At 53.8% G+C, this 26905-nt stretch overlaps 2 protein-coding genes across 6 annotated transcripts, besides 7 other annotated features; both read left to right on the top strand.

Annotated features, from left to right (window-relative positions):
• Window positions 341-970: a silencer, noted in NCBI's record as "silent region_8360". NCBI's record gives its function as "represses an Ori minimal core promoter by ATAC-STARR-seq in GM12878 lymphoblastoid cells {active_cell/tissue: GM12878}" and the evidence as "EXISTENCE:reporter gene assay evidence [ECO:0000049][PMID:35858748]".
• DHRS13 (dehydrogenase/reductase 13) lies at window positions 563-5861 on the top strand. Its single transcript, NM_144683.4, has 5 exons — window positions 563-824; window positions 941-1059; window positions 2026-2149; window positions 2341-2652; window positions 4750-5861. Exons 1-5 carry the CDS (start codon window positions 698-700, stop codon window positions 5199-5201), a joined length of 1134 nt encoding a protein of 377 aa, NP_653284.2. The 5' UTR covers window positions 563-697; the 3' UTR covers window positions 5202-5861.
• Window positions 1472-1664: a silencer, noted in NCBI's record as "fragment chr17:27228996-27229188 (GRCh37/hg19 assembly coordinates)". NCBI's record gives its function as "represses an EF-1alpha promoter that drives an FKBP-Casp9 reporter gene in an ReSE screen in HepG2 liver carcinoma cells {active_cell/tissue: HepG2}" and the evidence as "EXISTENCE:reporter gene assay evidence [ECO:0000049][PMID:32094911]".
• Window positions 5892-6051: a silencer, noted in NCBI's record as "silent region_8359". NCBI's record gives its function as "represses an Ori minimal core promoter by ATAC-STARR-seq in GM12878 lymphoblastoid cells {active_cell/tissue: GM12878}" and the evidence as "EXISTENCE:reporter gene assay evidence [ECO:0000049][PMID:35858748]".
• On the top strand, window positions 5909-24303 carry FLOT2 (flotillin 2). 5 transcript variants are annotated; one of them, NM_004475.3, is made up of 11 exons: window positions 5909-6116; window positions 14616-14697; window positions 19327-19417; window positions 20411-20534; window positions 20951-21069; window positions 21192-21305; window positions 21405-21524; window positions 21614-21828; window positions 22267-22450; window positions 22780-22929; window positions 23043-24303. In NM_004475.3, the coding sequence occupies exons 1-11, from the start codon at window positions 6068-6070 to the stop codon at window positions 23079-23081; spliced, it is 1287 nt and encodes a 428-aa protein (NP_004466.2). In that variant the 5' UTR covers window positions 5909-6067; the 3' UTR covers window positions 23082-24303. The 5 variants fall into 5 exon arrangements, with proteins under 5 accessions (NP_004466.2, NP_001317099.1, XP_016879883.1 ...); NM_001330170.2 differs by lacking the exon at window positions 19327-19417 and adding an exon at window positions 17695-17785; XM_017024394.2 differs by lacking the exon at window positions 5909-6116 and adding an exon at window positions 6590-6664.
• Window positions 6162-6271: a silencer, noted in NCBI's record as "silent region_8358". NCBI's record gives its function as "represses an Ori minimal core promoter by ATAC-STARR-seq in GM12878 lymphoblastoid cells {active_cell/tissue: GM12878}" and the evidence as "EXISTENCE:reporter gene assay evidence [ECO:0000049][PMID:35858748]".
• Window positions 6162-6692: a biological region, named in NCBI's record as "H3K27ac hESC enhancer GRCh37_chr17:27223968-27224468".
• Window positions 6192-6692: an enhancer, noted in NCBI's record as "H3K27ac hESC enhancer chr17:27223968-27224468 (GRCh37/hg19 assembly coordinates)". NCBI's record gives its function as "activates a minimal SCP1, AML or CMV promoter by ChIP-STARR-seq in naive H9 embryonic stem cells {active_cell/tissue: H9 hESC(naive)}" and the evidence as "EXISTENCE:reporter gene assay evidence [ECO:0000049][PMID:30033119]".
• Window positions 9798-10247: an enhancer, noted in NCBI's record as "active region_11955". NCBI's record gives its function as "activates an Ori minimal core promoter by ATAC-STARR-seq in GM12878 lymphoblastoid cells {active_cell/tissue: GM12878}" and the evidence as "EXISTENCE:reporter gene assay evidence [ECO:0000049][PMID:35858748]".
• Window positions 24304-26905: the final 2602 nt, after the last annotated feature.

The following is a 26905-nucleotide window of genomic DNA, read 5'->3' as shown; positions in this document are numbered from 1 at the left end:
CAGAAGGGAAGGAAGGAGAAGGATTTGTTCTTAGAGGGAAAAGCATCTAGGACTAGACTCAAAGACACACGTGTATTCATGTACACACCTAACTTCAGAAGGGAGGGACTGTGCTACATACACCTCGAGTAAACATATGGAGATATGCAAGCACATGCACTGGCAGAGACTACAGATGCAGGCACATACCTGGAGGGACTCTGCCAGAATGCACACAAACACCTACAAGGTGCTTACAGGAGCTCACACACAGGATCCAGAGGCACGCACACAACCCAAAGGGTGATCCTCAGGGACATGGGCACATACACACCTAGAGATCATTCACATACAAGCGTTGCAGATGCATGCACATACCTAGCGTGCACTCACAGGGTGTACGTGGACACACACACCCAGGAGTTCACACAGGCACACACCTAGGGGGCGCTCCCAGGGCCCAAGCGCACACACTCACCTCAAAGGTGTCCACAGAGGCACACGCCCCCAGGACGCCGACGCACGCCTAGGGGGCGCTCGCAGGGCCGGCGCGCACCCGCACGCGCACACGCCCCTGCCCAGCCTCCTGCCCGCCTCCGCCTTCGGAGGCTGACGCGCCCGGGCGCCGTTCCAGGCCTGTGCAGGGCGGATCGGCAGCCGCCTGGCGGCGATCCAGGGCGGTGCGGGGCCTGGGCGGGAGCCGGGAGGCGCGGCCGGCATGGAGGCGCTGCTGCTGGGCGCGGGGTTGCTGCTGGGCGCTTACGTGCTTGTCTACTACAACCTGGTGAAGGCCCCGCCGTGCGGCGGCATGGGCAACCTGCGGGGCCGCACGGCCGTGGTCACGGGTGAGTGCGGAGGCGGGTGAGTGCGAGCTGGCGGGGCGCGCGGAGAGGAGGCCGGGCCGGCGGTAGCAGCGGCCCGCCGGGCTCAGCTCAGCTCGGCTCCCGCCCGCGGTCCGCAGGCGCCAACAGCGGCATCGGAAAGATGACGGCGCTGGAGCTGGCGCGCCGGGGAGCGCGCGTGGTGCTGGCCTGCCGCAGCCAGGAGCGCGGGGAGGCGGCTGCCTTCGACCTCCGCCAGGTGAGAGGCAGCGGGGGCGCGTGGGACGGTGAGCCGAGAACCCGCCGGGACACAGAGAAGCCAGCAAAGGGGCTGCGGAGGATCCGGGTCCAGGGAGGAGAGCGCGGCGCGGGCGGCTGAGCGCGAAGAGGGAGTGCACGGAGCGCTGGGGTCACCCGAGGAAGGCGCACCAGAGCCGAGTGGGGGAGGGGCTTCCTGAAGGCCGTAATTGCAGTTCTGAGACGTTTAAGCATCAGTAGAAGTTGGGTTAATGATCAGTAGGAAAGGGAACAGCAGAGGGCACAGCATAAGCAAAGGCTCTGAGGCAAAGAGAGCTGGACTGATCTGAAAAACTGAGAAAAAGATTTAATGAGGCTGGAGCACAAAGTATGAGGAAGATGGGCAAATGAGGGGGCTGGAGAACATTCTAGAGCCTATTGAGAAGCTTGGATTTTATAGATTGGGCAGCAGAGACCAGTGGAGACCATGAACAGCCCTCAGTAGGCTCCGGACTGTCAGAATAGCCTTTGGAAGGAACTCCTTTGTGGCTGCGTGGTGCCTGGAGTGGGGGGGCAAGAGCGGGAGAGAGGAGACCAGTGAGAAGTTACAGATTTTAGGGTAAATGGTAATGGGGAAAGGAGGTGATAATAATAATAGCAAGTACCTACCCAGTGCTGCTAGAGTGTATTTTACACGTTAACTCCTTTCATCCTCACAAAAGCTCAGTGAGATTGGGACTGTTGTTATTATTATTCCCTTTACGCAGTGAGAGAACTGAGACCCAGAGAGATTAAGTATCTTGCCCAAGGTCACACTTTAGTAAAAGGCAAAGTCAGGATTTGAATCCACACACTTATCTAGTACACTCTAAGACACAGGGGCAGATTTTAGTAAACAGTAGGAGATGGACTCTCAGAATTTGGTGCCTGGGGAGAGGGAAGAGGAGAGAGATGCCTGGTGACAAGCCCAGCCCTTGCCTCTCCACAGGAGAGTGGGAACAATGAGGTCATCTTCATGGCCTTGGACTTGGCCAGTCTGGCCTCGGTGCGGGCCTTTGCCACTGCCTTTCTGAGCTCTGAGCCACGGTTGGACATCCTCATCCACAATGCCGGTGAGGGGCAGCAGGCCCTGCGTGGGGGTGGGGTGGCGGGTGGCCAGGGGCAACTGCCCCCTCCAGCGGGGGCCCTGCTGGGGCCAGTGGACACATGGGAAGGATGCCCCCTTCTCCCATCTCATAGATAGGGATGCCAAGGCTGCAGAGCTCCTTCTGGAGCAGCCGCTCACATTTAGCCTCTGCCCCAGGTATCAGTTCCTGTGGCCGGACCCGTGAGGCGTTTAACCTGCTGCTTCGGGTGAACCATATCGGTCCCTTTCTGCTGACACATCTGCTGCTGCCTTGCCTGAAGGCATGTGCCCCTAGCCGCGTGGTGGTGGTAGCCTCAGCTGCCCACTGTCGGGGACGTCTTGACTTCAAACGCCTGGACCGCCCAGTGGTGGGCTGGCGGCAGGAGCTGCGGGCATATGCTGACACTAAGCTGGCTAATGTACTGTTTGCCCGGGAGCTCGCCAACCAGCTTGAGGCCACTGGCGTCACCTGCTATGCAGCCCACCCAGGTGAGGTCTGGTTCTTTGGCTTCCGATTCCCCTCTCCTTTCCTTGCCCCATCCTGTGCCCCCCACACCACTACCGCCTCCCCACCCTCCATCCCTCATTGAGTCACAGAATCTCAGGGCAGCAAGGAAGCATAGTCCAAGGAGAGACCTGTTCCTTGCTGCTCTTGGAACCAGGTTCTCCTGGTTTAGGTTCTTCCTCTCACACCACAAGCCTGGGTCCTCAGCCCTGGGGGGTATATGGCCATGAATAAGACCTGGATTCCCACCCCCAGGAGCCATCTGCACTGACTGAACTGATAATGATGATGATGATAGCTAATAATTCATCCAAGAAGCATTTACCGAGTACCTACTCTGTATCAGGCATTACTTGCAGTGCTGGGGATATAGCAGTGAACAAAACAAAGACCCTGCCCTCATAGAGTTTGCATTCTAGTTTGGAGGAGAGGGAGACAGCCAATAAATATATACGATGAGGGGTGGTGATAGAGTGCTCTGAGGAAAAAGGAAACAGCAAGGGGCAAATGGAACGGGAATATGGTGTGGCAGTCAAGGAAGACATATCTATAAAGGTGACATTTGAACAGAGGTCTGAAAGATACATGGCTCACTGGGGAGATGCCCAGAAAAAGAGAGAACAGTGCAAATAATAAGTGCAGAGGGGCTGGAAGCGGTGGCTCATGCCTGTAATCCCAGCACTTTGGGAGGCCAAGGCTGGTAGATCACTTGAGGTCAGGAGTTCGAGACCAACCTGGGCAACATGGTGAAACCCCATCTCTAGGCTGGGCGTGGTGGCTCACACCTGTAATCCCAGCATTTTGGGAGGCCGAGGCGGGCAATCACAAGGTCAGGAGTTCGAGACCAGCCTGACCAACATGGTGAAACCCCATCTGTACTAAAAATACAAAAATTAGCCAGGTGTGGTGGCGCGCGCCTGTAATCCCAGCTACTCAGGAGGCTGAGGCAGGAGAATCGCTTTAATCCGGGAGGTGGAGGTTGCAGTGAGCCGTGATCACGCCACCGCACTCCAGCCTGGGGGACAGAGCAAGACTCCATCTCAAAAAAAAAGAAAAAAGAAAAAAAAAAGAAAACCTGTCTCTACTACAAATACAAAAATTAGCTAGGCATTGTGGCTATCACCTGTAGTCCCAGCTATTCAGGAGGCTGAGGCAGGAGAATCGCCTGAACCTAGAGGTGGACGTTGCCAGTAAGCTGAGATCTCGCCACTGTACTCCAGCCTGGGTGACAGAGCGAGACTCTGTCTCCAAAACAGAAAAAAGTAAGTGCAGAGGCCCTAAGGCAGAAGTTCCTGGTGTGCTTGAGAAAGGCTAATGTGGCTGGAACAGAGTGAGGGGGGAGAGTGGCAAGAGGTGAGGTCATAGAGAGGCACTGTGTCCTGTAGGGTTTGGAGGGAGGTTCACTATAGGCATTCTGGCTTTTACTCTGAGTGAGATAATTGGGGATCCAGAGCAACACTTTGTCTTATGGAAGAGGTTATACCAGGATAACAAGATCTGTCATATTCATATTACCATACTGCATTTTAGATAGTCACTGCCTAAGGCTCATTAGTAATTATAATAGCGATGATCACAATTAGCCTTTATTAAGTCTTTATTACACTCCATATCACTAATGTCCAAAATAGTGGCTGGTATACTGCAAGTACTTAATAAATGCTGGTTAAACAAGGAACAGGACTTGAGCTAGAAGAAAAGATGGAGAGAGACTGAGAATTGTTTCAGACATGGGACACAGCATGAACAAAATCTGGGATGTGGGGTGAACAAGCAGTCTGGATGGAAGCGAAGAGGCTTCATGCAGGAAATGAGTGAAGTCACCTCGCAGAAGCCCCGAATGCCTGGTAAATACTATCCTGGTTCCCTTGAAACCAGATTCTGTCCCTGTTCTTCTAGCTCTGTTCTATTTTTTTTGTTGTTGTTTTTTTTTTTAAAGAGACAGAGCTTGACTATGTTGCCCAGTCTGGTCTCAAACTCCTGGGCTCAAGTGATCCTCCTGCTCCGCCTCCCGAGTAGCTGTGACTGTAAATACACACCACTGTGCCTAGCCCGACTCCTTTCTTTCTTCCTGCCTACAGGGCCTGTGAACTCGGAGCTGTTCCTGCGCCATGTTCCTGGATGGCTGCGCCCACTTTTGCGCCCATTGGCTTGGCTGGTGCTCCGGGCACCAAGAGGGGGTGCCCAGACACCCCTGTATTGTGCTCTACAAGAGGGCATCGAGCCCCTCAGTGGGAGATATTTTGCCAACTGCCATGTGGAAGAGGTGCCTCCAGCTGCCCGAGACGACCGGGCAGCCCATCGGCTATGGGAGGCCAGCAAGAGGCTGGCAGGGCTTGGGCCTGGGGAGGATGCTGAACCCGATGAAGACCCCCAGTCTGAGGACTCAGAGGCCCCATCTTCTCTAAGCACCCCCCACCCTGAGGAGCCCACAGTTTCTCAACCTTACCCCAGCCCTCAGAGCTCACCAGATTTGTCTAAGATGACGCACCGAATTCAGGCTAAAGTTGAGCCTGAGATCCAGCTCTCCTAACCCTCAGGCCAGGATGCTTGCCATGGCACTTCATGGTCCTTGAAAACCTCGGATGTGTGCGAGGCCATGCCCTGGACACTGACGGGTTTGTGATCTTGACCTCCGTGGTTACTTTCTGGGGCCCCAAGCTGTGCCCTGGACATCTCTTTTCCTGGTTGAAGGAATAATGGGTGATTATTTCTTCCTGAGAGTGACAGTAACCCCAGATGGAGAGATAGGGGTATGCTAGACACTGTGCTTCTCGGAAATTTGGATGTAGTATTTTCAGGCCCCACCCTTATTGATTCTGATCAGCTCTGGAGCAGAGGCAGGGAGTTTGCAATGTGATGCACTGCCAACATTGAGAATTAGTGAACTGATCCCTTTGCAACCGTCTAGCTAGGTAGTTAAATTACCCCCATGTTAATGAAGCGGAATTAGGCTCCCGAGCTAAGGGACTCGCCTAGGGTCTCACAGTGAGTAGGAGGAGGGCCTGGGATCTGAACCCAAGGGTCTGAGGCCAGGGCCGACTGCCGTAAGATGGGTGCTGAGAAGTGAGTCAGGGCAGGGCAGCTGGTATCGAGGTGCCCCATGGGAGTAAGGGGACGCCTTCCGGGCGGATGCAGGGCTGGGGTCATCTGTATCTGAAGCCCCTCGGAATAAAGCGCGTTGACCGCCGAAGCTGCGCTCACTCCTGCCTCAACGCGCCGGCCCCGCCCTCCGCCGCCACACTTCCGGCGGGGCTGCGACCGCAGAGGGGCGCGGGCGAGCGAGCGGGCGGCCGGCCGCTGGGGGTGGCGGGATAGGCTGGGCGCGGCCGGCGCTGCAGACCCGCTGCTGTTGTCCGGGTCTGTGCGGTCCCGAGGGCCCTCCGTGCCGCCGGCGCCATGGGCAATTGCCACACGGTGGGGCCCAACGAGGCGCTGGTGGTTTCAGGTGAGGGGGCGGCGAGGAAGGTGGGAGCTGTGGAGGGTGCTCGGGGTGGGTGCAGGGCTGGGGAGTGCACGGGGAAGAGCTGGGCCTGAGTCCACCGCGCGGCGCAGGGCGCTGGCCCCCGGGCCGCACCTGAGGCCCCTTCCAAGAGAGATCTCGTGCTCACGCTTTCCTTGCTGCGCACCCTCGGGCACCCACCAGGGGCTCCCCCTCCCGCTGTGGGTTTTCCTGTGTTTATTTGCTTCTCCTCCCCCTCCCTAGGCGGGCCTCCCCGCCGCTCTACTGTGAGGTTGGGGGTCCCGAACTGAAGCCGCGGGGTTCCAGGAGGGAGGGAACTGGTGGTTCCGGGAACGCAGAGGTTTGGCTGGATTCCAGCGCCCGGGATGGGGGGCGGGTCGCGCAGCCCTGGAGGGCAGGTGCCTGTATGGGGAGGGGCCCTGAAACAGAGGTCGTTTCTCGGCACAGTCAGACCCGTTAATTCCAAGCAGGCTGGGGCTTGTTGGGGATTACCGGCACTGCCCGCCCAGGAGACGCGGATGCGGCCTCTACAGGTTGGGAAACCCGGTTCTGGGCAGTGCAGTTTGGGATTGCAAAATGCTGCAAGTTCCAGAATTTCTATCTAGGTGGGGCATGGGGACTGCGGTACTGGGGAAAAGGAACTGCTATTGAGATTTTATATTTGGGGCGCTTTGAGAAGCGGCTGACACCTTGCAAGCCACCGGGTTGTGCAGCTCCTTGCTCTCAGGAGCTGGGGGACGGGGGTCCTGGTGCCTGACAGCTTGGAGGCCTGGAGCTGGAGGAATTTCTCTTCTCTATCTTCCCACTATCAGTGCTGATTTTTTCAGCCTGCGTGCAGATTTGGTAGAACTGGTTACTGAAGAGATAGAAGGGGATAGAAGCCCTGAGCCAGGCCTCACAGCTGCCAACCCTTGGAGAGGGGTGATAAATCCACTGGGAATTTTCATTCCAAAACATGGCTTCAGGCTCACTTTGGATCTCAAAATCAATCTCTCCACTGGGACATCCCCAGTGTGTGGGAGATAAGTACCCTACCCCCCTGAAGACCAGAAATAGCCTTGAGGACAGAAGGGAGACTCCCAGAGAACACTAAATGCAGACTTGCTCCTCCATAAGACCTAAACCTGTCTCCCAGTCCCCACCCTTAGAGAAGGCTTTTAGAGACCAGAATCTGCACTGCACTTTGTTTTTCTTGTGGAATTTCCTTCAGGAAGCCCAGACTCTGAGCTGAGAAGACAAAAGCTCCAGTTCCATCCTTGTGGAAAGTCTTGGGACTGAGGGGCAAGAAGAGCCCCAGAGATGGGTTGCTCTGTGCCTTCCAGTTACTGAGAACCTGGTCTTCAGAACAGAAGTCAATGCACTGTTAGCTTCAACGCTATTTTAGGGGTGGGAAGAGGAGATCTTGCTGAGAACTGAGGATGCTGGAGTCAGGGAAGCAGAGAAGGTTGGCGGGGGTGACAGATAATGCCTGGCACAATGATACCTTGGGATTTGAGATGATCAAGCTGAGATCCAGCTCCCTCTTGTGTGTGGACTCCTGCGAGAGCAGAGCAACTGCCCCCACCCCTGCCCCCACCTGTCTGCCTTGCTCCTTGGACCTGTGTCTAAGACCAGAGGCATCTCACCCAGCCCAGTTTCAGAAGGAGGATGCTAATACATCTCATGGTCATCTTTTCCATCCTTTCTTATTATCTAACTTCCCTCCTTCAGTTTGTAACATAAAACCTTTTTTCTCTCTACTTTTGAAAATTTTAAAGGGGAATCCTTTTCATTTGGATGGGGTCGGGGGATGGGGATAAGGGGGGAGAAAAGCATAATTTTATTTTCACTCACCCTAACTGAAATTTAGTGTTTTCTGTGATTATGAATGTTGGCAACAATTCATGATAGTATTAGCAAAAAGTTTCCTACTACACTACAGTTATTTCTGGTACCTTGAAAATCTATTGGCCGGGCACGGTGGCTCATGCCTGTAATTCCAGCACTTTGGGAGGCCGAGATGGGAGGATCAACTGAGGTCAGGAGTTGGAGACCGTTCTGGCTAACATGGTGAAATCCCGTTTCTGTTAAAAATACAAAAAATTAGCCGGGCATAGTGATGCACGCTTGTAAGCATCTCAAAAAAAAAGGAAATAATTCATCTGTATTTTGGCATTAAGCTAATAATTAGATTTACCACTAGATCTTACTATTTAATGTATTAATAAAGAATGACATATTACTAATATTGCACACTTGGTTTTAAATTTTGATAACTTTCAATATAATTTCTTATGTATTTATTTTATGAATTTATAAGTATTCTTGGCCAGACTAATGCCTGTAATTCCAGCAATTTGAGAGGCTGAGGCAGATGGATCACTCGAGGCCAGGAGTTTGAGACCAGCTTGGGCAATATGGCAAAACTCTGTCTCTACCAAAAAAAAAAAAAATTAGCCAGGAGTGGTGGCACATACCTGTGGTCCCAGCTACTCCGGAGGCTGAGGTGGGAGGATCGCTTGAGCCCAGGAGGCAGAGGATGCATTGAGCCAAGATCACACCACTGCACTCCAGCCTGGGCAACAGAGTGAGACCCTGTTTCAATAAATAAATAAATAAATAATAAACAAATATTCTTGAGGAGGGGTCCTTAGGCATTGCTGGATTGCTAAAGGGGTATGTGGCTCAAAAAAGACTAAACCCCCTAGTAGGATATGGACTTTTTTTTTTTTTTTTAAATACAGTCTTGCTCTGTCACCCAGGCTACTAGAGTGCAGTAGCATGATCACAGCTCACTGCAGCCTCGACCTCCCAGGCTCAAGCAATCCTCCCACCTCAGCCTCCCAAGTAGCTGAGACTATAAGTGGACGCCACCACACTCAGTATTTAAAAAAAAAAAAAAAAAAAAAAAAAAAGGTCTTGCTCTGTTGCCCAGGCTGGAGTGCAGTGGTATGACTTCAGCTCACTGCAGCCTCCACCTACCAGGTTCAAGCCATTCTCATGTCTCAGCCTCCCAAGTAGCTGGGATTACAGGTGCACGCCACAGTGCCCAGCTAATTTTTATATTTTTAGTAGAGACAGGGTTTCACCATGTTGGCCAGGCTGTTCTCAAACTCCTGGCCTCAAGTGATCCGCCCACCTCGGCCTCCCAAAGTGCTGGGATTACAGGTGTTAGCCACCATGCCTGGCTGCTAATTTTTAATTTTTTGTAGAGACAGGGTCTCCCTGTGTTGCCCAGACTGTTCTCAAACTCCTGGGCTCAAGCAATCCTCCCACCTCAGCCTCCCAAAGTGCTGGAATTACAGTCATGAGCCATCATGCCCAGCCAGGATATGGACTTCTTGACTAGTAGGAAGAAAGTGGGCTGGACACACTGGCTCACACTTGTAATCCCAGCACTTTAGGAGACCGAGGTGGGAGGAGAACTTGAGGCCCAGAGTTTGAGACCGGCTTGTGCAACATAGTGATGTAACAGGACGAGCTGCAGACAAAACTTCTCAGATACTGAGTTGTAGAAGGAAGGGCTTTATTCAGCTGGGAGCATCGGCAAGCTACTGCCTTAAAATCCGAGCTCCTCGAGTGCCCAATTTCTGTCCCTTTTAAGGGCTCACAACACTAAAGATTTCACATGAAAGGGTCGTGATTGATAGAGCAATCTAGGGGATACGTAACAGGGGTTTCATGCACTGGTAGTCAGAGTGAAACAGAATAGGACAGGGAGTTTCACAATGTTCTTCTATAAAATGTCTGCAATCTATGAATAACATCGGTTTCTAAGTTATGAGTTGATTTTTAACTACTAGGTTTAGGCCAGGCAGGCCCAGGCCTGGTTTCGGGCCTGGCGCTGGGCTGCCTGTCTTTGATTTCACTTCCTTGTTTTTTTCTTAAAACAGGTACTGAGTATAAAACAATATGAGAGGGTCTCTCTCTTCCCTCAGCGAGACCCTGTCTCTACAAAAACAATTCTTTTTAATTAGACAGGCATTGCGATGTATGGAAGGCTGAGGCTGGAGGATCGCTTGAGCCCGTGAGTTCAAAGCTGCAGTGAGCTGTGATTACACCACTGCATTCAGCCTGGGTGACAGAGCACAATACTGTCTCAAAAAAAAAAAAAAAAAAAGAAGGTGGAGGAAGGCCAGGAAGGGCAGGGGATGCTCCTGAGAGGGCAGAGTGGTGGGCTGTGTCCTGGGGAAGGGCTAAGGGAGTGGAACAGAGGTTATCGTGGGGTATTTTGTGGTTCTTCAGCTCAATTGTGGAAAGGGAAAGCAAGTTGGGTTAGAAAGAATAGAGTGAGGTACAGTTAGGAGAAACTTCCAGGTCTTGAGACGAGTAAGAGTTAGGGAAATCAAGGAAGAGGCACCTAACTGGCCTCTTGGGAGGGGTGCTCAGGCTGAGTGACCAGGAAGCTGGCAGGAAGTTGCCTTCCAGGGGAGGATGCTGGTAGGGGCGGGTAATCTGGCAGTTTCAGCTTCCTGTTGTTGCTACCCTTGGGAACCTGGCAATGTTGCCCTTGGCCAAGGCCCAGCTTGAGCTGTGGCAGCCTGCTCCCCAAGCCAAAGAATAAGTTAAAGGTAAAGGGTGGGCTGGGTGCGGTGGCTCATGCCTGTAATCCCAGCACTTTGGGCACCTAAGGCAGGCAGATCACCTGAGGTCAGGAGTTCGAGACCAGCCCGGCCAACATGGCGAAACCCCATCTCTACTAACAATTTAAAAATTAGCCAGACGTGGTGGTGGTTGCCTGTAATCCCAGCCACTTGGGAGGCTGAGGCAGGAGAATCACTTGAATCTGGGAGGCGGAAGTTGCATTGAGCTGATATTGTGGCACTGCACTCCAACCTGGGCAACAGAGCAAGAGTCTGTCTCAAAAAAAAAAGATAAAGAGTGGCCATCTAGGGCCGGGCACGGTGGCTCCCACCTGTAATCCCAGCACTTTGGGAAGCCGAGCCGGGCAGATCACGAGGTCAGGAGATCGAGATCATCCTGGCTGACAAGGTGAAACCCGGCTCTATTAAAATACAAAAAAAAGCTGGGCATGGTGGCAGGCGCCTGTAGTCCCAGCTGCTTGGGAGGCTGAGGCAGGAGAATGGCGTGAACCCAGGAGGCGGAGCTTGCGCCAGTGCACTCCAGCCTGGGCGACAGAGCGAGACTCTATCTCAAAAAAAAAAAAAAAAAAAAGAGTGGCCATCTACCCTGTCCATCCCCCACCCCACTCCCACATCCTACCCCCACCACTACCACCTTCCCACTGCACATTGAGAAGTCCCATGGGGCTAGCCCAAGGCAGCCATGCCCCAGCCCCCACCAGGCCAGAAGATGTAGAATAAGCTGTGATTTTTGGTCCCCTTCCAGTTTCACTTGATCCTGAGATGGTTTGGGTTTCAGATTGAGTGCTTGTCCTCAGAGGCCTCCCCACCCCACTTCCCAGGTCAGAGAAGCCCGGAATGGCTTACCTTGAACAGCAGCCCTGTTAACAGGTAGTTCTACCCCAGAGAAACAGACAGAGACCCAGGACCCCGTCTTACTGTTCCCTGCCCACACTGCTCTTTGATCCCTGGACCTCTGGTTCTGCTGCTGGAACTTCACGCATGGCAGCAGACCCAGAAAACTGGGTTACCTACCTGGTAAGCAGTATTAGATGCCAGCTCTCCAACCTTTCAAGCCCTCCCCACTGGGGGTGAGGTGGAGCGGTTCTTTATTTCTTTGCCTCCACCCACCGAAAATTTGTCCCCAGTTTCCCATTCTCTCCATTGTGTCTGTTTCTATTATTGTCCTCAACACCCACCCAAACCCAGACTCTACAGCTGCACTGTCCAATGTGGACAGGAGCCACAGGTGGCCATTTAAATTAATTAAAAAATTCAGTTCCCCAGTCATACCAGCCTCATTTGAAGTGCACAACAGTCATATGTTGCTAGAGGCTGCTGTACTGCACAGCATAAACACAGAAGAAGATATAGAACATTCCTACCCTCACAGAAAGTTGTCATGGATAAGACTGCTCTAGAAGTTGTCTGCCAGTATCAGCCACCATGCCTTGCCTGGATTACTGCAAGAGACCAGTCTCCCTGATCCCAGTGTCTTCCTCCTCATGCAAAGTGGTGTGTGTTTCTCAAGGGTAACCTTGCTCCCTGTCACTCACATACACAGCTTCTTGGCCTGACACACAAGACACTGTGTGATCTGCCCTCTGCCCCTCCACTTGCCTTATTCCCTGCCGTGAGTCCTCAGAGACACTAACCCAGCTGCATGAAACTCCCCCAGACCCTTGACCTTGGGAGTCAGTCAACCTTTTGAGGTTCTTTGAAGCTTTCATGAAAACCTAACTTTGTGAACATGGAAATGATAATGCTCGGCCAGGCGCGGCGGCTCATGCCTGTAATCCCAGCACTTTGAGAGGCCAACGCATGTGGATCGCTTGAGCCCAGGAATTCGAGAACAGCCTGGGCAACATGGTGAAACCTTGTCTCCACAAAAAATACAAAAATTAGCTGGGCATGGGGGCACACACCTGCGGTTCCAGCTACTCGAGAAGCTAAGGTGGGAGGATGGATTGAGCCCAAGAGGTGGAGGCTGCAGTGAGCCGTGTACTCCAGCAGTGCTGTACTCGTGTACAGTGTACTCCAGCCTGGGCAACAGAATGAGACCCTGTCTCAAAAAAAAAAAAAAAAAGAAGAAATGATAACACTCTCTGGTTTTTCCCAGATCACATATTTCCTTTGAATACTGTTTCCTGTACATTTTTTTGCACTGCAAGTTAACTGCCTGTCCAGTTTTATGAAGGTTTCCTTGAACTTGATGAGGAATTTTGGCATTAACAAGAGAGTTCACTACAAGAATCTCAGGAATTGCCGGGCGCAGTGGCTCACGCCTGTAATCCCAGCACTTTGGGAAGCTGAGGCGGGCAGATCATGAGGTTAGGAGATCGTGACCATCCTGGCTAACACGGTGAAACCCCGTCTCTACTAAAAATACAAAAAATTAGCTGGGCGTGGTGGCGGGCACCTGTAGTCCCAGCTATTCGGGAGGCTGAGGCAGGAGAATCGCGTGAACCCGGGAGGTGGAGCTTGCAGTGAGCTGAGATCGCACCACTGCACTCCAGCCTGGGCGACAGAGCGAGACTCCGTCTCAAAAAAAAAAAAAAGAAATCTCAGGAATTGATTTTTCTCGTTTCTGTATAGGGAACATATAGAACATGTCTACAGCATGGATCTGGGTTGTGGCTGAATTAGATGTTCTGTGTAGCTGACACACTGTTTCCAAGAACCACTTCCTTTTTAGGCCTTTTTGCTTTCTCCACTTCTCCCATTGGTACCACAAGTTAGCCTTTGTTTTGAGGCCTTGCCTTCCCCACCCGTTCCCATGAGAGGAACAAAGTCATTCTGAATGTTTTGGAAGTAGAGAACCAGCCTCACTGAGATGTGTCTGCCAGGCAGAAGAGCAAACCCTCTCGCCTTGGTTGGGAGACTCTTCCTTCCCTCCCAGCCCCCCAGTGTTGTCCCTGTCTGCGTTCCCTCTCTGTCTACACCCCCCGTGATAACAGGTGAACTCCAGGGCATACTTGTTTATTGAATTAATTAATTAAAAATGGAAGCTGGACCAGGCGTGGTGGCTCATGCCTGTAATCCCAGCATTTTGGGAGGCTGAGGCAGGTGGATCACAAGGTCAAGAGTTCGAGACCAGCCTGGCCAACATGGTGAAACCCCGTCTCTACTAAGAATACAAAAATTAGACGGGCATGATGATGCATGCCTGTAATCCCAGCTACTCGGGAGGCTGAGGCAGGAGAATTGCTTGAACCTGGGAGGCAGAGGTTGCAGTGAGCCAAGATCACGCCACTGCACTCCAGCCTGGGCAACAGAGCAAAACTCCATCTCCAGAAAAACCAAAAAAAAAGGAAGCTGGCCTGGCGAGGTGGCTCACACCTGTAATGCCAGCACTTTGGGAGGCCAAGGCAGGCAGATTGCCTAAGGCCAAGAGTTTGAGACCAGCCTGGCCAACATGATGAAACTCTGTCTGTACTAAAAATACAAAAATTAGCCAGGTATGCTGTGGCGGGCACCTGTGATCCCAGCAACTCAGGAGGCTGAGGCAGGAGAACCACTTGAACCCAGGAGGCAGAGGTTGCAGTGAGCCGAGACTGCGCCACTGTAGTCTAGCCTGGGCAACAGAGTGACATTCTGTCTGAAAAAAAAAAAAAGCTTTTTCAGATCACCTCTGCCCATTGTCCTGTTCTGTTCTTCTTTTCTCTGGAAGCACTTACATTCTAAACTATTCATTGGCTATCCTTCTCTTTATGTAAATTGCCTGTCTACCAATCTAGACTTTAACTCCCATAAGGGTAGGGAGAACTTCTCTCTCATTGATGTGTAACCTCAGCACTAGGCACCCAACAGTAGGCGTTGTCAAGTATCAGAGCAGGTAAAGGACAAAAGTTGCTATCAGTGGGCTGGAGGGTAGACAGACCCAAGAACCGACTGACTTGCGGTGGTTTGCTTTGCTCCCCAGGGGGCTGTTGTGGTTCCGACTATAAACAGTACGTGTTTGGCGGCTGGGCCTGGGCCTGGTGGTGTATCTCCGACACTCAGAGGTAAGCACCTGGGGGCTCTAGGACCTGTCATGGAGTGGGCCAGGGAGAGAGGGGCTTCCAGCATTGTTCTGCTTCACTCTGAGGGTCAGCTAGAGCATCTACCATTTCCACATTCCATTCTGGCGGTGGAGGGGTGGGGTTGGGGGGGACTTCCTAAGAAGCATGTAAGATGGGTTGCACAGGGGTGCAGGAGACATGCATCAGGAAGGTCTGTCATGGGCACCCCCTCCTTAGTGGGTGTTCTTTTTTCCACTGGAGGTGGCATTACTTCTGTCCCAGAGAATTCAGGGTCATAACCCAGGCAGAATCTTGATTTCCTGATTATAACTCAAAGTTATTTAAGAAGTCTTTATTATACGCCCAGTTTGGAGTGGGCATATGAAGGGAGGAAAGGCTGGAGGGACCCCATGCACACCCTTACCCATGCAGGCCCTGGGGTAATCCAGGCAGGGACTATGTGGCAGAGAATGGACATATAGTCAAAAGTGGTTCTGTGACAGTGGTAAGTTAGACAGGGAGGGGGACCTAACGAATTAGTGCTGGGGCTGAGCAAGACAGGTCTGGACCTCCTAAATCAGTCTGGAAAGACTTACTAGAGGAAGTGAGATTTCAGCTCCCCAGAGGGCCCACCATCCAGCTCTACCTGCCGCTGCCTGCAGAGCCTAGGGCAGGGCCAGACCTGGCCTCTCCTGCCACCCTCACTGCCCACCCGGGAGATGAGGCACGCCAGCTACCTTTCCACGATCGCCCCCTTCCTCATTATGGGAGATGGGGCGGTGGGGAGGGGAGGAGCAGATCCTTCCCAACCAGGACCCAGGCAACAAGGGCAGCAGAGCTGTGGGCATGTTGCAAGGTGGTCGGTCACCCCACAGGGGAAATCATGGAGATTCCAGTGGAAACCCCCTCTGCCCCATCCCCCACCCGTCAGCAGCTCACGTCTGCACCAAGCTGCTAGTGCTTGAGGCTCCTGGGAGTCTGAGGGCATCTGCTAGGGTCGGGGGGAATGGGAAGCATGGCACAATGGATTAACTTCACTGGTTCTCAGTAACCGCTGCACTCTCCCACCTCTCCCCTCACTTTACCCGACCAGAGGTGAGCGATGCTGGGGACTCTTCTGGTCCAAGGCTCAAAGTGTCAGAGTAATCAGTAGTGGCCACAGCCTCCACTCGAGAGGATCCTGGCCACACCTGAGTGGGCCAGTGGCCTGTCAGAAGCCGTGGGGAGCCCTCTCCAGACATACTGCCACCCCACACACTGTGCATTCCCAGCACAACAGAGTATCTTGTCCAGACACCTGCCCTGCGTGGGCAGCCACTGCTAGGCCAATTCCCCTGCAGTCCTTTCTCCAGATTCTTGGTCCCCTGCTCTCCCTTCCTGCTCCAGGGAGCAGAGCCAGGACAGAAGGGCCAAGCCTTTCTGACAGCAAGTTTGGAAGTTAAAGGTGAAGGGCCTTGTATCTCTTCCCAGGACACCGACCTCACACCCAGGCTCTACATCCTCCCTCTGGTCTCACTTGCTGGGTAGTCTGAGCCAGTAATCCTTCTCCTTCTTACACCTTTTCTGGGGGGCAGCCTCTTCCCTAGTCCCTAGCCTGCTTGGGGGACGCCTCCACAGGCTGGGGCTTTATTTCCCTAGGCTGGCAGGAGCCTCTCGGGTCAGAGTAGAGGCTTCTAACTCAGCCTGGATACTCAGCCTCCCTCTCAAGGTCCTTTCTGCAGCTGTCTATATGTCACGTGCCCTTGGGGTCAGCCATTCTTCTTCCAGGCTCAGTGACCCCTCCTGCTGCATTTTGCTGCCACATCCTATACTATCCCGAGGCCCTGATATGGGCGGCTCTCTCCCTCTTACCTGAGCAATTCTTCCACCTTTGGCATCTGAGCTGCAGCCTCCCTTCTTCCCTCCCCACTACCCTTCCTCCCTCCCTCCCTCTCCCCTATTTCCCTCTCTCCTTCCCCAGAAGAGAGCTTGGTGGGTTCCTGTCTGAGCTGGGTCAAGAATCCTCTCAGGCCCAAGGATGCTAGTGTTAGGGGCTCGAATGAAGGCAACTTTTGCACATCTGCATGGCCAGTGCCCCAGGGCTGGCACTGTGGGGGTGGCCCCTCCTGGGATTGAGATGGGGGCTGCACATCGACTGCTGCTCCTTATCACCCCCTCCACCTGCTTCTGCCCCTTCACCCTCGGCCTCTGTCCTCTCTTCCTTCCTCTGATTTAGGGAAACCTTCCACACTGTCCACAGCCTGGCCTCTGCCTAGACAATCACCCTGCACACAGACTGCCTAGGGAGGCCCAGCCAGGATGGGCCAGGGAGCTTCGAGGCACCTTGTTTTCTTTGCCAATAATCTTCTCTCTGCCCCTGGCCAACTTTGGAAATTCCCAATTAAATGCCTCCCTTATCTCCCGGTTATCCCTGAGTATTCTGGCAGGAGCACACTCTCCCCCAGCCTTCCTTGGCCCCACATCAGAACATTTGGGCTTTTCTGGCCTCACCTTGCCTTAGTGATAGATAGTGCAGACCTGGCGGATTCGGCATTTGCTAAAGCTCAGGAGTCCCCAGAATAGCCTCCCACTCCCGATTTCTGGAAACACAGGTTTACCTGTGTGAAGACGGGGGGCTAAGCCTCAGTCTCCCAGATTGCGACAGGATCCCTGGGAAAGTGAGGTGGCGGGCAACCCAGGTGCCCTGTGCACAAGCCTCCTGACCTCAGGCCGCAGGCCCAGGGTGGCAGCAGGCATCTTCCCCAGCCTAGCAGGTCCTCACTAAAAGGGTTTGGGGGCTAGAGAAGAGACCCAGAGGCCTCGGATCAGCACAGGAGGTCGCTGCTGTCCTGCAGCCCTCGGCTGAGCTGGCAGTTGGGGGGTTGGATTACTGACAGCATGCCCCCCCCCGCCCCCAGGCGTCAGGCATCGGTGCTTGTCTGGTAACTACTGTGTGTGTTTGCTGTGTCCCCTCCTTCCCTTCCTGTCCCTACCTCTCCCCACCCCCTGGCTGCTCCTCAGACTGTCTCTGGAGGTTATGACCATCCTGTGTCGCTGTGAGAATATTGAGACGTCGGAGGGGGTTCCACTATTCGTAACAGGGGTTGCACAGGTAATAACCCACCTGCTTCCTCCTCCGTGTCTAACCTTCTCTCTTCCTGCCCTGCGGGGCCTGGCAGACAGGAGCCGATGGACTCCCCTCCTGAGACCGTGCCTTCCTCCCTCTCCTCTTTTCTCTCCTCCACTGCTCTGGGTGCCAGGATGGATCCCTGTACATCCCCAGGTCCCTTGCCCTTGCCTATTGGACTGCAAGTGGGGAAACAGCAAGGGATTCTGGAAGCTCTGCCAAGTCTGCCAGTGAGTGTCCCTGGATGCCAGGCCTTCGTTACCATGCAGCCATAGCTGGTGAAATCTATTCTTGGGCTTGGGTGTTAATTAGCTCCAAATGCTTACTCTGTCATGTGTGGGTTCCCCTCTTCATTGCTTCATTCACCAGCTCTCTACTGAGCACCTTCTCAGTTTGAGGCATGTGGACTGCAGGAGCGAACAATAAAAAGCCCCTGCCCCCTCAGAGCCTGTGTGCCAGCGGGTTCCCAGCCTGGAAGAGGCCTGAACCACATCTTTCTCACCCCCTCCCTCTGCATTCAGTTGCCCTTCAGCCTCTGCTTAGGCAAAAACACTACACCACCACTCCCTTCTTCACCCATCCTGCCATCTCTAATGGGGAAGGGGACCATCCCCATCCCCTTAGCCCTTGTAGCCATGGGAGGTGCAGAGGCCTGGGAGGCTTGGAGCACCTTGTGTGGAAGGGGTAGGGTCCAGGCCTCCTTCAATACTCTATTTGATGCAGTCCTCTCTCCTTCCATACCCACACCTACACTTGAAACACCTGCAAAGCCCAGATCCCTTTTAAAGTGGGTGACTGTGGACCCTGGAGGAGTCAGATTGCATGGCCAGAACAACTCTTTCCAGGGTTAACACTCCTTGGCCAAGAAGCTCTAGTGTGACTTCAGTCTAAATTCCCCATGTGACCCACCTGGGCCTAATACCAGACATGGGTTTCAAGTCAAAGGCTGCAGCCACCAGGTAGGGCTTCTCTGGCAAGGGGCAGGTACAGAATCACTTCCATCTTAGCCCAGCAGTAGGCATACTCCAGGATGCCAGGCAATCAGGCAGAGCTTTCCAAGCAACTTCCTGGGGCACCCTGGGGTGCTGGGTAGACCAAGGAATGGGCAAGGGCCCCTGTGGGAGGCTCAGTTGACATCCACGGATGGCCTGCACAGCAGGGCCGGGAGGACCAGCACTGACTTGCTATCCTAGAACATACACACAGCTACACCTGGATTCTCCCCTGACCAACAGCCCCCGACCACCCACAACCACTTCTTTCTACTTCCTTTTCCTCAGCTGACTTGAGCAGAGGGTGTGTGCACATATGCAGCCCACTTCCACTCCTTCCCCTGGGGCCACCTGCACCCACCCTGCCCTCGTGCCCACCTCCTTCTCAGACACTCCCATCTCAGCCCCGTGGAGAGTCCTCCCTCCACCTTCCTCACCAGGACCCAGCCGGAGCAGTGAGGTACTGGCCTCTTTCCCAACACCACCAGGCCCTGCGCCCCCAGACCCATGCCCCTGTTTTGCGTTTCTTGGCAGGATTTCCCTAGAGATTATGACGTTGCAGCCCCGCTGCGAGGACGTAGAGACGGCCGAGGGGGTAGCTTTAACTGTGACGGGTGTCGCCCAGGTATAGTAACTCAGCAGCCCTGCGCATGTCCGTTGAGCTGCCTGGTCCCGTACTCGGGTTCGGGGGGAGGAGGAGAGGACAGCAGCCAGGGGCAGTCTCTCTCCAGCACCCCAGCCCCCGCAAGTCCCACAAGAGAGGGCTAGTCAGGTCGTCGCCACTGGAACATGCTCACCGGGCCATTTTGGCCACCCAGCAGGACTAACAGACACCCCTTCTCTCCTCAGCGGGCCCACGAGGGACAGAACCAGTGCTGAGGGCTCCTGGCTCACTAACCCCACCCCCATTCTTTGCAGGTGTTGGAAATGTCAAGCCCCAGAATCCAGGCCTTCCTTGTTCCCTGGGTACTGCGTGGGAGGGGTGGGGCCCAGAGGGAGAGGCCATGTGAGGCAGAGGAGCTCTGGACTCTGGGAGTCGGAGGCTGCATCATATCCCCTGCTGAGGGCCTAGGTGAGGGCTTCCTGCCCCGATCCACCTCTTGGCTTCACAGGGCAGTGAGGTTCAGCCATGCTGTAGGCCTCGGCGAGGGGTTGGCTGAGTAACTCAAGAAGGAGAGGCACCCTCGGTTGCATCCCCCAACCCTCTCCTGCCCTGTCCAGGCTCTTTCCTTCTCTGTCTGTGTCCCTATTGCTCATTCTGCTTCTCATACTCTCTGCCCCTCAGCCTGAGGGTCTCCCACGTGTAGGAAGCCTGCAAGGGAGGAATTAGCTGGTGAGGGGACAGTAGGCTGGAGGGGTGGGGAGACAAGCCCCGAATGCCCAGGAGAGGCCGTGGCAGGGCCTGGGGCTGTCAGTGCAGGAGAAGTTTCATAGTGAGAGAAGCCCTTGTGCTGCTGTCTCCCCACTAGAGGCTTCAGACAGATTCCAGCCCCCCAGGGCCTCCAGGTCTGAAAAAAGGAAGGGAGGAGGCACAGCCACCATCCTGCCTACCTCTGGGTCTGGGGCCTTTGTCTGCCTCGCTCCAGCCTAGCTGAAGCGCCTTTGTCGTCACTGACAGGTGAAGATCATGACGGAGAAGGAACTCCTGGCCGTGGCTTGTGAGCAGTTTCTGGGTAAGAATGTGCAGGACATCAAAAACGTCGTCCTGCAGACCCTGGAGGGACATCTGCGCTCCATCCTCGGTGAGGCCCTGTTCAGCCTTTGAGGAGCCTCACGGGGCCCCTAAGCCAAGGCAGGGAGGTGTGCAGGGCTGGGCAGGGGGCCTGTTTCACAGGAGTTTCAAGCTAAAACACTTTTCCTCAAATATTTAATTTCAAAACTTCAGGTGACTTGAGTTAAGGAGAGGGTATGAGTGAAGGGGTGGGATGGGGGCTGTCGGTCTGCTCAGGAACCTAGTGCTGCTTGGGACACTTTTCCTCATTCAGCCTGGACTGTGCAGCAGGAAGCTCGGTGTTAAGTGCTGTTGAGAAGATACCCCAGGAAGACCCAGCTCAGAGTGCAGCACCCCGCATGCACCCCTACCTCTACATGCATGCCTCCTCCCTTCCCCAGCTGGCTGGGTCCCTGGGGAGCCAGCCCTTGATCCCTCTGCCCCCAGGGACCCTGACAGTGGAGCAGATTTATCAGGACCGGGACCAGTTTGCCAAGCTGGTGCGGGAGGTGGCAGCCCCTGATGTTGGCCGCATGGGCATTGAGATCCTCAGCTTCACCATCAAGGTACGACGTGATGGGAAGCTGTATCTCCTGGCGTCCATCTGGGAGATGGTGGCTTTGTTAGAGGGGCACCTTTGTGCCTCTGGCTGCTCCTTTGAGCCTCTGATACCCCCTTCCCTCCCCAGGACGTGTATGACAAAGTGGACTATCTGAGCTCCCTGGGCAAGACGCAGACTGCCGTGGTGCAGAGAGATGCTGACATTGGCGTGGCCGAGGCTGAACGGGACGCAGGCATCCGGGTATGTGGGTTCAAGGATGGGAAGCTCAGGGGTGATGGGACCATGATGACTCAGGACCTCTACTCACTCACCTTCCCCTTCTGCCCCTTTTGTCCCCAGGAAGCTGAGTGCAAGAAGGAGATGCTGGATGTGAAGTTCATGGCAGACACCAAGATTGCTGACTCTAAGCGAGCCTTCGAGCTGCAAAAGTCAGCCTTCAGTGAGGAGGTTAACATCAAGGTGAGCAGCCTGAGGACATCCTGGGATGGGGCTCAGGGATCAGGACTTGGTGACCAGCCTCTAATGTGCCACACACCCTCTTGCCACAGACAGCTGAGGCCCAGTTGGCCTATGAGCTGCAGGGGGCCCGTGAACAGCAGAAGATCCGGCAGGAAGAGATTGAGATTGAGGTTGTGCAGCGCAAGAAACAGATTGCCGTGGAGGCACAGGAGATCCTGCGTACGGACAAGGAGCTCATCGCTACAGTGCGCCGGCCTGCCGAGGCCGAGGCCCACCGCATCCAGCAGATTGCCGAGGGTGAAAAGTGAGAGCCGCCCAGGTGCCGGGGTCAGGGCTTAGTCAGGCTCCTCTGCCTTCAGTGCACTCCCTCTACTCTCCTGACCACAGCTTGGAAGCCACTTCTCCCCCTCCACTGTGTCTTCTTACTCACTGTGAAGTGAGGATAACCCCATGTCCCCTGTGGGACTGCTGTTGGGAAGACTAAATAGATAAAGGAGGCTCCAGTGCCTGGTGTAGTGCTTGGGCATAGACGGCATCCTGGTTTGTCCCCTCCCACTTACAGATGGGAGCCGGTGGCCTTTCCCTGGCCAGAGCCGGAAGGTCAGGCCACCCCACTCCGTTCCAATGTCTCCCACCCCGACAGCCCCCAGAGCAGAGGGTTTGAAGGTTTGCTGGCCCCCAGGCAAGGCTTGAGAGGACCCTGGTACGTCCCACTGATCCTAACTGGCCTGGGCTCCCCCAGGGTGAAGCAGGTCCTCTTGGCACAGGCAGAGGCTGAGAAGATCCGCAAAATCGGGGAGGCGGAAGCGGCAGTCATCGAGGCGATGGGCAAGGCAGAGGCTGAGCGGATGAAGCTCAAGGCAGAAGCCTACCAGAAATACGGGGATGCAGCCAAGATGGCCTTGGTGCTAGAGGCCCTGCCCCAGGTGAGGCTTCCACCCAAGCGGGTCCTAGGGTTCAAGTGTCCTTGCTTGACAAGCTGGGCAAGTGCCAGAACTTCTCTGGGCCTTGCGAGTAACACAGGGACAGATGGCTAGAAGGGTTAAATGAGGAGCATCCTCAGCAGGGGGCAGGAACCCTACAAAGGCCTAAGCCATCCCTGGCCCACAGGGCGTCTCTTACCATGGCTCGAGACTAAGGGCCACCCAGGCTGCTTTGGGGTTGGAGTGAGTTAAGGAAGGGAGGGAGAGATGCTGGACCGGGCTGAGAACAGAGTCAGCGCCAACCAGGCTGTCCTCCCACTCTTACCTCCTAGATTGCTGCCAAAATCGCTGCCCCACTTACCAAGGTCGATGAGATTGTGGTCCTCAGTGGAGACAACAGTAAGGTCACATCAGAAGTGAACCGACTGCTGGCCGAGCTGCCTGCCTCTGTGCATGCCCTCACAGGCGTGGACCTGTCTAAGGTATGTGCCTGCCTAGCTGCGGTGGGGTTGCCCAGGTAGCCCGTCGGACTGGCCCAGGCAAAGTGGTCCTGGGCTCTGGAGCCAAGGTCTCATGGCATCTCCCATCCTTGCAGATACCCCTGATCAAGAAGGCCACTGGTGTGCAGGTGTGAGGCTCCTGCAGGCCCACTCTCTTCAGCAGCCACCCGGCCCTCCCTCCAGCACCCGTTTTAATCCCACAGAACAACGGGAACGTTACTGACTCTGGTGCCTTATCTCGAAGGGACCAGAAGTGCTGCGTGTTCAGGCCATCTCTGGCTGTCTTCCTGTCTCTCCTGTCTGTCCACCTCCTCCTCTTCCTCTCCTTTACCCCACTTTCACTGCCACTTTCATCAGGTTTGTGTCTCATCTCCCTGCGTGTCTTTTCCTTTGTCTGTCTTTTTCTTTCCCCCATGCACATCATGTAGATTAAGCTGAAGATGTTTATTACAATCACTCTCTGTGGGGGGTGGCCCTGCTGCTCCTCAGAATCCTGGTGCCTTGAAGTTCTCTGTGCATCTGTCCATCCTCCCTATGGCCCTGGCCAGAGCTCAGCATGGGCAGGGGTTCTGGGTAGGACGGTCACTGTCCTCTCTCCTGGACTGGTCTTCCCAGCCCTAAACCCTGCCCCAGGAAGCCCACAGCCTCACCTGCTGCTGCCCCTCTAGGTCTGGGCAGCCATGACCTGCAGGGCCCAGAGACACTGTCCTTCCCCTCATCCACCCAAGGCCCCAGCCAGCGCTCATACCCTGTCCTTTCTCCCTGACCCCAAGGGCACAGAGGCAAGGCCTCCTGTCTACAGCAGCTTCCTCAGTTTCCTACTGCCTTAGGAGGCCCCTGCTTGTGCTCAGGGAAGGCCTCTTCATGGGCATGTTCCTGCTGGGGCGGTGCGGTTTGGTCCCAACTCTGCTAAGTTTTCTGAGATGAGGGTCTAGCCCTGTTGGGGACAGAAAAGTGTGTAGACCTTCTTCCTGCTAGGGCTGCACTGTCCTGGGTGTTGGGCCCTTCTGGTGGACAAGGCTGTGCCAACCCTGTACAGAATCGAGTGCTGTAGCCTGGCCAGACCCCAGAGCCCTTGTGCCATCTTTCTTCCTGGCCAGAGTGATGGGGTTCCAGCCATGGGGAAGCAACCCAATCCTCTGTCTCCTTGCTCCAATGGAGGCAGAAGAGCCCAGGACCCAAGCGTCTTGGCAGGGGTGCTGTGAATGTCCAGTGGTCCCAGCTCCCCACCCTGGCCCTGCCCCAGCCTGTGTAGCTCTTCCTGCATGTGGATGCTGCATGTCTGGTCTGGGGCTTGGATGTTGCACTGCCCCACTGCCTGTCCCTTCTGGTAAAATAAAGAACTCTTAATGCCCACCCCTGCATTGTGTCTTCTGTGAGGAGAGAGACTGCGAACCGAGAACCAACCAGGTCCCCTACCTCTCTTCAGCTTCAAGGCAGCTTTTAGCCTGTTCTTCCGCATTCTAGCCACTGGGGAGCAACAGCACACTGGCCTTGCCCCCAGTTGCGCCTTGGACATGACTGATTGGCTAAGATGCTTAGGCCAAACCCCAGCCCTGGAACACCTGGCTCCATCACAGGCAGAAGGTGGAGGGGACTAGCAGGGTGCAGTTGCACATGCCTGTAGTCCCAGCTACTCAGGAGGCTGAGGTGAGAGAATTGCTTGAGCCCAGGAGTTTGAGTCCAGCCTGGGCAACATAGGAAGACTCCATCTCTTAAAAAAAAAAAAGAAGAAAAGGTGGAGGAAACTGCCAGGTTCACTGCACCTCTGTACCGGTATACTGAGCCCTACTCAGTAATGGAGCCCATCTCTCAGGCTTAAGAGCTTAGACTCTGAAGTAAGGCAATGTAGGTTTAGATTTTAGCTTTATTGTTCATTACCTGTGTAATCTTAGGTGAGTAACTTCATCTTTCTGGGCCTCAATATTCTTATTCATTTAATGAATTTATCAAATGCTTGCAATGTACTAAGCATTGTCTTAGATGCCAGAGCAATGAGTCAACAAAATAAATGCACAGCCATTCAAGCTTACATTCAGATAGAAACAAGAAAAATTAAACGTACAGTATGTTAGATAATGGTAAGTCATAAGGAAAAGAAGTCAAAGAAATTATAGGAAGTGTGGGAGTCCGCTGAAATTTTAGGGTATCCAAAAAAGGCCTCATTAAGAAGGTAGCCCTGAAGAAAGTAAAGGATTGAGCCATTCAGATATCTGAAGGAAGAGTTTTCCATCCAAAGGCCCTGAGGCAGGAGAGTGTCTGGCATGATGAAAGAATAGCAAGGTCAGGATGTTTGGAGCAAGGGAGTAAGTCAGGGTATCAGGAGATGAGTCAGGATCTCATCTTTCCAGATCATGTAGAACCTTAATGAGGCATATTGTGGTCTTTACTCTGAGGTGGGAAACCACTGAAAGGCTTTGAAAAAGGAGTGATATCATTTGATACACCTTAAAAGGTATTTCTAGGCACCAAGACAATTCAAGGCAGAAAGGAACAGATGGTGCTAGAACAACTGGGTCTGTATTGGGGAAAAAAATTGAATTGCAGCTGAGCGTGGTGGTTCATGCCTGTAATCCAAGCACTTTGGGAGGCCTAGTTGGGTGGACCACAAGGTCAGGAGTTCAAGACCAGCCTGGCCAAGATGGTGAAACCCTGTCTCTATTAAAAACTACAAAAATGGGCTGGGCACAGTGGCTCACGCCTGTAATCCTGGCGCTTTGGGAGGCCGAGGCGTGCAGATCACGAGGTCAGGAGATCGAGACCATCCTGGCTAATGCAGTGAAACCCTGTCTCTACTAAAAATACAAAAAATTAGCCAGGCATGGTGGCAGGCGCCTGTAGTCCCAGCTACTTGGGAGGCTGAGGCAGGAGAATGGCATGAACCCAGGAGGCAGAGCTTGCAGTGAGCCGAGATCCGCACCACTGCACTCCAGCCTAGGTGACAGAGCAAGACTCCGTCTCAAAAAAATAAAACTACAAAAATTAGCCAGGTGCAGTGTCAGGCACCTGTAATCCCAGCTACTCGGGAGGCTGAGGCAGAAGAATCACTTGAACCCAGGCAGCAGAGGTTGCAGTGAGCCGAGATCATGCCACTGCACACAGAGTGAGACTCTGTCTCAAAAAAAAAAGAAAAAAACAATTGAATTGCAACCCCCTACCTCACACCATATACCCAAATCTAGTTTGGGGTGGATCACAGACCTAATGTAAAAACTCAAAACATAAAGTTCATAGAGCAAGCAGGGAATGTTTCTATGACCTTGACATAGGCAAGATTTCTTAAGACCAAAAAAAAAAAAACTACTAACCATAAAAGAAAAATTTGATATATTGCATCATCACAATAGGTCTTGGCCAGCCAGGCATGGTGGCTTATGCCTGCAATCTCAGCACTTTGGGAGGCCGAGGCGGGTGGATCACCTGAGGTCAGGAGTTTGAGACCAGCCTGACCAATATGGTGAAACCCTGTCGCTACTAAAACAACAAAAATTAGCCAGGCGTGGTGGCAGGCTCCTGTAATCCCAGCTACTCAGGAGGCTGAGGCAGGGAGAATTGCTTGAACCCAGGAGGCGGAGGTTGCAGTAAGCTGAGATCGCGCCACTCTACTCCAGCCTCAGCAACAGAGCAAAACTCCATCTCAAAAAAAAAATTAACTGAGCATGGTGGTTTGTGCCTATAGTCCCAGCTACTTGGGTGGCTGAGGTGGGAGGATCGTGTGAGCCTAGGAGATGGAGGCTGCAGTGAACTATGATCACATAACTGTACCCCAGCCTAGGCGACAGAGACCCTGTCTCAAAAAAAAAAAAAAAAAGAATGAGAAGACAAGCCTCAGAATAATGGGAAAAAATATTTGCAAGATATATGTCTGGCAAAAAAAAAAAAAAAAAACTAGCATTCAGAATATATTTTACCAATCAGTATGGGAAGAAATGGTAATGCCGCAGAAAAATAGACAAAG

This window comes from Homo sapiens, chromosome 17 (genome assembly GCF_000001405.40).
Source record: "Homo sapiens chromosome 17, GRCh38.p14 Primary Assembly".
NCBI classification, from domain to species: domain Eukaryota; kingdom Metazoa; phylum Chordata; class Mammalia; order Primates; family Hominidae; genus Homo; species Homo sapiens.
This window is presented reverse-complemented; position numbering and strand designations above follow the sequence as displayed.

Excerpts from the sequence above, each read along its gene's own strand:
- DHRS13 (NM_144683.4), top strand. The coding sequence starts at position 698 with ATGGAGGCGCTGCTGCTGGGCGCGGGGTTGCTGCTGGGCGCTTACGTG. Across the intron at positions 2,150-2,340 it reads CATCCTCATCCACAATGCCG|GTATCAGTTCCTGTGGCCGG; the intron begins GTGAGGGGCAGC and ends CCTCTGCCCCAG. Across the intron at positions 2,653-4,749 it reads CTGCTATGCAGCCCACCCAG|GGCCTGTGAACTCGGAGCTG; the intron begins GTGAGGTCTGGT and ends TCCTGCCTACAG.
- FLOT2 (NM_004475.3), top strand. The coding sequence starts at position 6,068 with ATGGGCAATTGCCACACGGTGGGGCCCAACGAGGCGCTGGTGGTTTCA. Across the intron at positions 22,451-22,779 it reads TGCTAGAGGCCCTGCCCCAG|ATTGCTGCCAAAATCGCTGC; the intron begins GTGAGGCTTCCA and ends CTTACCTCCTAG. Across the intron at positions 22,930-23,042 it reads CAGGCGTGGACCTGTCTAAG|ATACCCCTGATCAAGAAGGC; the intron begins GTATGTGCCTGC and ends CCATCCTTGCAG.